Below are 11391 nucleotides of genomic sequence, written 5' to 3'. Positions count from 1 at the left end.
GGCGCGTAGGTGCCACAGGAGGCACTTGGACCCAAGGCCTTTCCCACACACCACCCTGCCTCCTCTAATCTCCTGGTGATGGAATGACTCTCTTGGACGTGTGCTGGGTTTTCAGGTGCCAACTCAGCATCACCACCAGCCCTGTCTAGGTCTCCTCTGCACCTCAGAAGCAAAGCAGGAACTACATTTCCCAGAATGCCATTCCCAGGAGGACCCACATGCCAACCCCAGTGAGGAACCTAGCAGAGGCCTTTATCCTGCATTGGTGGCTTTATCCAGCCCCCAGTGCAGAGGGAGCTTCACAGCAGCTTTCCACAGGCTTCTGAGAACCCCTGGCTTTAGTGTTTCAGGCTGAAATCTTGGTAGGTGGCTTCTCAGCCCTTTGCACCCTCGGATCTTCCTATAATACGTAGGCTCCCCCTACCTGGACCACTCAGACTGAACATCACAGACACAGAAGGTAAGATCACGTGATAGTGCGGAGGTCTTTCTCTCTGGCAGAAAGAACATTCAAATTGGAACTGGGTGAACTGACATTCTTACCAACCAAGCTGGCCCTTGACCACATCACTTAAGCGGTATGAGCATCAACATTTTTCACTCATCAAATGCGAATAACAATATCTACAAAATTATGAGGGCCGGGCACAGTGGCTCACTCCTGTAAATCCCAGCACTTTGGAACAACAAGGCAGGCAGATCGCTCAAGCCCAGGAGCTTGAGATCGGCCTGGGCAACATGGTGAAATCCCATCTCTACAAAAAAGAATACAAAAAATTAGCTGGGCACGAAGACATGCACTGGTAGTCTCAACTACTCGGGAGGCTGAAGTGGGAAAATCGCCTGAGCCCGGCAGGTCAAGGCTACTGTGAGTTGTGATCAAGCCACTGCACTCCAGCCCTGGGAACAGAGTGAGACCTTGTCTCAAAAAAATAAAAACAAAAAAATAACTGGGAAGGTCACATGAGATACTATATTTAACAACAATTAGGACAACAAGAAAGTAGGGTGCTGCTGTTATTATTTTTGCTAATAATAATAGCCAAGCATTTTATAGGCATTATTGCATTTAATCCTAAAACAACTCTGGTTATACCATTTCTATTTTACAAACAGGAAAACTGAGAAACAGAGAACTGAATTAACTTGCAAATGATCACACAGCTAGTTCTTGACAGAGCCAGAAACTGAACCCATTCTCTGTAGTTTCAGTGCTCACACTCTTAACCACTATTGATGTGTTTCCTGTTGACACTGACACATTTCAACTAGCTTGTTTATTTTCACCTTCCTCCTCAGCAGCTTACCACAATTACCAAGTATAAAGACTAGCAAGGAGAAGAAATTATGAGCAGCAAGATGTATGAAATAACCTCCTAATAATTTCAAGAACCTAGCATAAAAGTGGTCTATCTGGCAGGGTGCCTAATCCCTGAGTAATTTCAAGGACAACTTACTCTCAACTTGGGGCATCTATGCCCTGCAGGAGACATTTGGAAATGTCTGCAAACATTGTCACAACTGGTGGGGCGGGCATAGGGGGCCAAGGTGCTACTGAAATCTAGTAGGTAAAGGTTTGAATGCCCCTAAATAGCTTACAATACACAGGACTATCCTCCCCGCTCAACAAAGAATTATCTGGCCTAAAATGTCAATAGCATCATTGTTGAGAAAGCCTGCTTTAGAAGGTGTTATGGGATTTCCTGTGCCTAATATGGATCATGTGGGACATTCTCTAAGGCTGTGTTGTCCAATGTGATAGTCATTTGCCACCTGCGACTATTTAATTTTAAATAAATTAATAGTAAATAAAATTAGAAATTTAATTCCTTAGTTGCACTAGCCACATTTTAAGTGCACAATGGCCAGCTGTGGCTAATGGCCACCATATTGGACAGCAGAGAGTCATGGAACATTTCCACCATCTCAGAAAGGTCTTTTGGCCAATACTACTGCAAGATCTTCTCCTGGTCTGAAACCGTATTAACTATCTCAAGCTGTATGTAGTTCCTTGCACGTTATAAAAAAACAAATATTAAACCATGATTTTTAAAACAGATAAAATAGGGCATATTCATGAAACCATAAAAAATGGCCTTCTAAATTAGAATGCTTTGAATATAGTTGATGACATCTCCTCGTTAAGACACTGCTTTATTTGTTTATAGATCATTAAAACTGGGAAGAGGATAGGAACCTAAACCCAGAGTTGGCAAAGGCACTATCAATCGATGTTCAAGAAAAGGACTTGAGGGAGGCAGTTCTAAAATTGTAATCTAAACCAAAAGTTGTAGAATTTTTTAGTTTAAAATAGGATTTGAGTAATCTATTTTGGTTCTGAGTTGTATAATTCTTTTTAGGGGCCACAAAAGTCTTGGAGAATCTGGTAAAATGTGCTGATCCACATCAACAAGCAGATACACACAGAGACCATTTTCTTTTCTTTTCTTTTTTTTTTTTTTTTTTTTTTTTTTATTGTTGTTGTTGTTGTTGAGAGGAGACGGAATTTCACTCTGTCACCCAGGCTGGAGTAAAGTGGCACAATCTCAGCTCACTGCAACCACCGCCTCCTGGGTTCAAGCGATTCTCCTGCCTCAGCCTCCCCAGTAGCTGGGATTATAGGCACCTGCCACCACGCCTGGCTAATTTTTGTATTTTTAGTAGAGATGCGATTTCACCATGTTGGCCAGCCTGGTCTCAAATTCCTGACGTCAGGTGATCCACCCACCTCAGCCTCCCAGAGTGCTAGGATTACAGGCTTGAGCTACTGCGTCTGGACTACACAGACTATTTTCTATACAAGTTGATGTGATTCTTGGCTTCCTAAAGCCCCCTCTGTGTTCCAGTTGATCCCTACACACTACCCTCACTTCACAGATGAGGTAATTGAATGACTGAATGAATCAAGGGAAATGAGGAGTTAAGTGACTTGTCCACAGTTTACACAGCAGCAGGACCTCAAGCAGAGGCGGATATTCCAATTCTCAAGCCTTATCCATTCATTAAGAAATATCAGTTTATATAAAGTAGTAAAGGAACTAATCTAGCGTGTGCTATAAGATACACTTGTACTGTTTGAAGTTCTTCTGCTTGCCTTCTATGATGGGAGAGGATGGGGCAGTACTTAAAAAGAAAAGGAACAGCCTTCAAAGTTGCCAGAGGGTAGAATAGGGAACTACACACTCATTATCCACTCCGCAGACTGAGTTATGAAGCTCTGAACAAAGAAACATGTTCTATGATTTCTGATCTAGAATTTTTTTTTTTTTTTTACCAGAATGCTGCTTCTTTGGTGATACTCCATTGCCTTTCTCCAGACAGCACATTCTCAGTAATAATATGAACTCCTCACCTGATTTGATGGCCTCCATCCTTCTTATTAAGGCTTCGAGAAGCGCAGTTTGTGAATTTGCCTTTGAATAGCTCATTAGGTTATTTGCTTTTGTTCCGGACTCCTGTCTCCTCTCCTGTATTCTGCCTCCTTATTTGTGCTTTTTCTTTAAAGCCAAAAAAAAGCCTAGAAAACTCCCTTATGCAAAATTCCAAATTCAGCTGTGCTTTTACCCGTATACTTAATTATAAGAAGTCGTGCCCGCTCTATACTTGCGGCTTTTCACAATGTGCCATTATGTAGAACAGCAAGCAGAAGCAAAAGGTAGTGAACTTCATTGGCAGTCTAATCCGCACAGAGCTATTGCTATTGAAATGCTGTAAATAGAAATAATATTCAAGAAGAAAGAATTTGCCTCTAGGGCTGTGCCCAATAGATCTACTTACAAACCCCAAACAAAGCCTGTCGAGTCAAGTATACTTAGCCCAGTGTCTGGAACATAGCAATCCTTTTTAAAATATTTGTTGAATGAATTAACTGATTATTTTCATTTTTCCCCTCACCATTCATTCTCTGCTCTCCACCTTCCTTTGCCCACCTCTGTCCTGACCCCCGGGGCTCCTTATTTAGCTCTACTGCTGAGTGGCTTTCCACTGTCTACAGGCCATTGGAGGTTGGAAGGTGGAAGGAGAGACACATGAGGTTTCTCTTCCCATTTCCTCTCCTCCATGTTGCTCTGACATGGCTGTGCCCTCCACAGCTACAGCTTCTATGGTGGCCCCGCCTCCATGGCCCCACCTCTCACTGAGTTCCAGGAATATTATTTCCTCCTTTTTTCCCTTTAGGTTGAAGGAGTTCAGGAAATATCACCCTGAAATGTGCTGCTTGGTATGCTGGTTAGTTCCCACTGGGGGCACTTGAGGAACAGCAAGTACAGGGAAGGGCTTTCTCTGAACTTCCTTCAGAAGGAGTTCAGTTGTCATGACCTCCCTCCCTGGGGAACACAGGAGAGACTTGAGGTTGACACCATGCCCAGACAGACTGTCATCGCTTCCTCTGAGGGCTGCTCAGAGACGGCTGTTATTACCCGAGAGAGGTTTCGTCTGCAGAACAAGACACCCTCTACGCACCACACATTTCCTTCTCCACCCTCCCCTGCCCTGTGTGCTGCCAAGCCCCAGAAGCCCCATGTCCCTATTCCTTCTGTAGCTTAGGATGCTACAGAAGCTTCAATCATCTGACCCATCTTTCAGTCTCATATTTTGTGAAACTCCAGGCATATGTACATAATTAAAATGTTTTTTTCTCCTGTTAATTGGCCTTATATCAATTTAATTCATAGCCTAGCCAAAGAACCTAGGAAGGTAGAGGAAAGCCATATATGGCTCCCCTACGGGGTCTAAGCCTGTTAACAGCTTCCTACATTGCTAGTTCCTGGATGTCTTCACATCCTTTTGGTTCCTTCAACCCCACCTGCATCTCAATAAATCATCCATTCATTAAACTCTTTCACTGAACTAGATTAGTTAAGTTTTGGTTTTTTCCAGTATCCTGACCGATACAGTGAATAAATGAAATAGATATATAAATGAAAAGACTTGAAAACCGACTTTAAAGTAATTTTGAATATATTGTTTTTAACATGAAGGAATAAAGCCATAAACATAAAAAATTATTTCTCAAAATAATAAAATCTCAATTATTAGTTTTACCTAAATGTAAGTTATAGTATGCTCAAGTATACATTTATTTTTATATTACATATGCCAGGGGCCAGGGGCAGGTAATGTAATTGGGAAAACTTTTCCAAGTGTTAAGAAAAAAGCCACTACTAAGTGTCAAGAAAAAAACCACTACTAAGCACACTAATAAATGATGTCTGGCAATTAGCTCGTATATGCATTCTAGAGTAGAAGTTTGCTACACGCATACATGTATATATTTTGCAAAATAGTCTTCATCAGTCATAAAAGTGATAGATGTTGCCTGGTATATCATCTGGGGTCCAACTTCTCACAAAAAGCAAAAACCTTTTTACACCATAACTACGTGGTTTTAGGAAGGTGGGCCCCAAGGTGGGGGGTCAACATAGGTATGTTCTGCTTTCAAGTTACAGGTAGAAGCCATTTGCAGACACCTCATAATCAAAAGAACCGGTCCTCAATCCAGAACCAAGACTTGAATTACTGGAGTTTAGAAGTGTTGAAAACTAGAGTTCGAGCCGGGCACGGTGGCTCACGCTTGTAATCCCAGCACTTTGGGAGGCCAAGGTGGGTGGATCACGAGGTCAGGAGTTTGAGACCAGCCTAGCCAACATAGTGAAACCTTGTCTCTACTAAAAATACAAAAAATTACCCAGGCGTGGTGGCAGGCACCTGTAATCCCAGCTACTCAAGAGGCCGAGGCAGGAGGATCACTTGAACCCGGGAGTCGGAGGTTGCAGTGAGCCATGATAGTGCCATTGCGCTCCAGCCCAGGTGACAGTGCAAGACTCCATTAAAAAAAAAAAAAAGAAAAAAAGCTAGAGTTCTCACCAGAGTTTGGGTGACAGAGGCCTAAGCCACTAGCCTGGTGCTGAATGAATGCTCTCTCTGCCATCTCACAGACACCCTCTCCCTAGCATGCCAGCACATGCTAGTTTTTACCCTCGCTTTCTCTCATGATAGTACATAACATCTTTCTTATTTTAAAAGTAAGAGATATCCAACATAGAAAAATACTACAGAGTTAAAAATAAGCAAAAGAAAAATAAAACTTAAAACGACCCATCATCTTTCTATATTGAGATAACCAGTTCTAGCAGTTTGGTGTCTCTCCTTGAACAGGCAAATGATTAATGGCAGACTAGGGGAAGAGATGATAAGTGGATATTTCCCAGCAAGAACTTAATCAAGTGTACATGTTTTATAACTTGCTGTTTCACTTAATATGCTTTAATCCCTCTCCGGGTTATTGCCTGCCCTTCTACAGCATCATTTTTATAACTGAAAAATATTTTATTGTATGACTTTGTTATCATTCATTTACCCAATTCCCTATTGTTGTGTTGTTGGAAATTTAGATTCTGTCCAATATTCTGCAATGTAAATGTTGCAGTAAAAGATATCTTCATAATTGCTTGCTTTTTCAATGGCAGGGTTATTGTAATTACCTAGATATTTTTAGTGCAATGGCAAAGAGCTTTGCTCATTCTGCTTACATCTGAGGGTATGGCTGTGATTATAGAAAAATACAATGGTCATAGTATCTACTGAGTCTTAAGGGATAGGACCTGCATATTCAATCCAGAGCCCCTGCTGGAGCCCAAGTTCTCCTTCTACCCAAACCCTTTCCCCACATACTGCAATATCAGACTCATAATCTTGGATAATTAGTTAAAATTTTATTCAATATTGCTTCTTCCTAAGGAATACTAAACAACAAAGTGAAAGGAGGCATACATTCATTTCCAATTCTTTCATAGACTCACACCTACACACTACATAAATGGCTTTTTAAGACATGTCATGCATTTCATAAAAATATATAAAAATGCACATGCATATGGATGTGTGTCTCCACTGGATAGCTCATGCCATCTTCAATGTTCCTGTCCAAAAAATTCATAGGTCATTGTGTGTTCGTTGGTTCAGATCCAGAGCTCAAATCCATCTTTGATCCGCAAAGACAGATTACTTCTGCTGCTGGTAAGGACAGAGTAAGATCCTACCAGACTGAGCCTCCTGGACATACCAATTGTAAGCTTTGGACGTAATACAAGCAGCTTCTTGAAGACATATGAGAGTGAGAAGAGCAGGCAGACCCAGGAGTGGGGTGGTCCGTGCTCAGAGGAGGGAAGTTATAGGGACAGCTTTTCACTTACACCCAAGTGTAGTGAGAGCAGCCTGCAGGGTGGCAGGGCATTGGTGGAAAAAAAATCACAATCTCTCTGGCCTGTGGAAGGGAAAGCTGAATCCAGGGCCACCATGGCTGCTGGGAAGAGAAAGGGAATGCAGGAAGGGAAAGAGTCCGAGGGAGGATTTCCAACTTCTGTCTGCTCTCAGCTCTGGCTGACCCCTAAGCCACACATGCAGAGTGTAGACTAAAAGCTGAAATGATAACAAAATATTTTAGTCGAGTCAAAAGCAACCACCCAAAATAAACAGTTTGCAGTTAATTTTTTTCCTCATTGAGGCTAAATAATGGAACATAGAATCTTCATAACTTTATATTCATAATGTCCAGGATACAATGCAAAATTACCCAAGTTACAAGCAAACAAAAAGATGGAACACATTTTCAGGAGAGAAGGAATATCAACTGAGACCAACCCTGAAATTATTTATATATTGTAATTAGCAGACAAATGTTATGAAGCAGCTATTTATAATTATGCTCAGTAGTGAAAAAAATATGTTAACAATGAATAACAAGATAGAAAATCTAGGCAGAGGAATAGAAACGGTCAAAAGAATCAAATAAAAATTCTAGAACTGAAAAATATGATGTCTGAAATAAAAACGTCACTGGATGAATTAACAGCAAAATGAAGAGTACAAAGGTTAGAGCAAGTGTGCAGAAAAGAATGTAGCCCATGTTGTGAAATCTGTCAGCCTCAGTTCTCTCTCAAGACAAAGCAACTTTTGTAAAAGTGATTTACCAAAATCTAAATGTAGTTATTACTAAGATCCTGGCAAATATTGTAGTGTGAACTTGTTTCTATCCATTCTTCCTCAAGGCTATTTGCTTTCTCGTGTCTCTCTTCCTCCACAAATGAAGTCCCATTATCTCTAAAGTCCCCTTCCTTTTCTTGCATACATATTTAATTATGCCTGTCTCCCTTACTTGACAGTGAACTCTGTGAGGGAGTGTGAAGGAAGAAAGAAAACCAGCATTTGAGTATCTGTGAGGAAGCAAGCACTGCACCAGCAAATTCTCATACTGTACGTCATTTGGGTGTGCAGGAAATGAGTCTGATTTGCGCAGGAACCAAGTGAGATTCAATGCTTGGTATATTGCCTGGTTTTGCAGCTTTTAGGCAAACACAACCTGCTTCTTTCTTCTTTCAACTCTGATGCACTTTGTTGCAGGTATGCATATTTACATTTTCAAAATCATATATTAACCAACTTGATACCAAAAGACAAAGTCTGAAATGAACAGACTATTGATGTAATAAAAAGACACAGTGAAGTTGCTAAGGTGAAATTAGAATGTAGATGCCTACAAGCTCTCCAGGGAAATGCTGTAAACAACTACATGGAACTCCGTGAGTTAAAAAATCAGATAAGAGGGCCACCAGTAGAGGAACAAATGCAAGTCAGAGAGGGCTCATCATTAAAATGATTTAGTGCAGAATCCACTTTTGGGGAAAACACTTGGGGGATAAAAGGAGGAATGAAAGGAAGCCAACTGACATCATTCCAATGTATCTTTTTATGGCTATTAAGATAATTCTGGTTGTACCTGCAGGGAATTCATTACATTAATTAATACTCCGACTCAACTCATATTGTAATCTTTGCTTGTGCTTACATTTGTTAATCCCAGGAAATGTGCTAACCCTTTAGGTTGGTTTACGTCCTGCATCTAGTCCTGACTTCTCCAACCAAAGTAAACCCTTAGATAATTGATGGGCATCACTGCCCTTGGTTTAGTGTCTTCCACCTTTATGCTGGTGTTTGACCCCTTCTTGGCATTTTCTCTAAGTCTCTCAACTGAAGGCAGAAGTGCTGCTCTGTTTATGGCTCTGGATCTGTGTCCTGTCATTGAATTGATTTCCTCCCTTGGGCTTAGACTTTCATTCTCTCCCTCTTCCAAAGTACTTTACTTCAGTAATTACTCCCTGCTCTCATTTTTCTCCAACCCTTCCCTCCACATTTCTCCCATTCTAATATTCAATTCTCCCCATTCTGCCCAACACTCCTCACACCAAGCTGACCAATGAGCTCCTATTGCCAAATCGTGGATGGGTTTTCAGTTCTTATTTTGCTTGACTTATTTGGCATTTAACAATTGAGCACATCTTCATTTTTAAAACTCTGTCTTACATTTGCTTCCACAAAATGCCATCTCCTGGTTTTCCTCCTATTGCTGTAAGGCACATTCTTAGTTTTTTGCATGGAGTGCTTTTCCTCCATATCGCTGCCTTCCATATGTCTGTTCCACAGAGTTCCGTCTCTGGGCCTTTGATCACTTGGTCCTCTCTCTTTAGGAAATCTCATTCGCTCTTAGCTTTCCAATGATAACTCACATGCCGGGCACTGTCACATCTGTATCCTCAGGGCAGAAGATTCTCTTGAGCTCCGAAGAGTAAATCTAATTGCCTCATTATGTTTCTCCTCTGCCCAAACTTATTTCTCCACTTATATTTGATATCTTGGTGAATGCCACCTCCATTCACTCTTTTCCTCAGACATTTTAGAATCACCCACATTTCTTCTGTCTGCCCTAATCCCCACAGTAAGCCAATCATCAAGTCCTGTAGATTCCCAAAAGAGTTCTCAATCTTATTACTCCTTTCTATCATTTTTTTTCCAGAGGCTGAATGACTGCAAAATGTTTCTTAGGTGGATTGCCTGCTTCTTAGTCTTGCCCTTTGTCCCGTATACTGTCCCTGCTTGTTTGCTAGAATATGCATGTTTGAAATTAAGTCTGTCACCAATTAATGATGCTGTCCCATTAAGAGACAGATTCAGGAAAAAGTTAGATTCTGTTACATGGCCACTAATTGTCCTCCTAATCCAGCCCTGCCTTCCTTTCATGCTGGGGCAGACTCTTTGTTGGCCCCATATCTAGTCCACTCTTGATTCTCTCTTGGCATTGTCCAGCTAACAGCTGCATTTCCCATAAGGTAAAGTGTGGCCTTATGTGATGAAGTTTGCACCTTACTTGCTTAAAAGAAAATTGCTTGCCCCAGACTTCTTCACTTTCTATGTCCTTAAGCTGGAACACAAATGGCCATGGCCCATCCCTACCTGCAAAGGTAGAGGAACAACATGGCTCCCAAACATCATCATACAGCAAAGCTACCTGCCAACCTTGGCCTGCTGGATGGTTGCATGAGAGGGAAATAAAAAGCTATCTCATTTGGGCCACTGTATTTTGGGGTCTTTTAATACTCTGCTCCAGTCTTTGCCCTAAATAGTAAACCTGCTTTTTCATTATGTCTTTGTTTTTCTCTTCTCCAGTTGGATTCTATGTCCCATCCATACCAGACAAGTTGCATTCTCCAAATGCTGTGTACCCTCTTGCCCTTCATGTTTATGCACATGCTGTTCCCTCTGCCTAGAGTGTGTTCCCATTTTTCTCTGCCTGAATAACTCCTATTCATGCCTTAGGACTCTGCTGAGGCATCAACTTCCATTTGAATCCTTTTCTAACATACCCCTACACCAACACTGTACACATACACTCCTCTTTGCTCCCACAGCATCCTCACAAAGTCCTGTGATCACTGGTTTACCTATGTGTCTTCCCTTTGTGAGCATCTTGATGGCAAGAGCTATCTTTTATCTCTGACAAGGTCACAAGCCAAAGAATGTGGGCATCTTCTTGAAGCTAGAAAAGGTAAGGAAATGGATTCTTCCCAGCACCTCCAGAAACGGACATAGCTAACCTCTTAATGTTAGCCCAGTGAAACCCATTTTGGACTTCTGGCCTCTGAACATAAGATAATAAATGTGTGTTTTCTAAGCCATGAGATTCATGATAATGTGGTGCAGGAGCAATAGGAAGCCACTAGAAGTATTATCAACTGAATAAACTTGGATAAGTTAGTGAACGTCCCTAAACCTCAGCCTCCTCCTATAATATACAAATAAAATTCACTCCCTGGTGGTGAGTATTGAATTAGATCATTGATATAAAAAGGTTGGCAAAGTGTTTGACATGTAATGAGTGTTCCATAAAGGGTTGTTATCCTTAGTAATATCATCATTAGAATCATCATTACTATTATTGTTTACTAATTTGCCTGGTACATCTGGGGTAGAAAGGAAGAAAGAGACAGAGAAAAAGAGATAGAAAGTAAAATAACAAAAGCCTGCTTTGGAAACCTGCAGGCATATTTGGTTTTAGCT

The 11391-nt window shown here is 41.2% G+C and overlaps 1 annotated feature.

Moving 5' to 3' along the window:
• Positions 1362–1511: an enhancer, noted in NCBI's record as "active region_25844". NCBI's record gives its function as "activates an Ori minimal core promoter by ATAC-STARR-seq in GM12878 lymphoblastoid cells {active_cell/tissue: GM12878}" and the evidence as "EXISTENCE:reporter gene assay evidence [ECO:0000049][PMID:35858748]".

Source organism: Homo sapiens, chromosome 7, assembly GCF_000001405.40.
Source record: "Homo sapiens chromosome 7, GRCh38.p14 Primary Assembly".
Classification (NCBI taxonomy): Eukaryota; Metazoa; Chordata; class Mammalia; order Primates; family Hominidae; genus Homo; species Homo sapiens.
The sequence above is the reverse complement of the archived record's forward strand: the minus strand, read 5'-3'. Positions and strand labels throughout refer to the sequence as shown.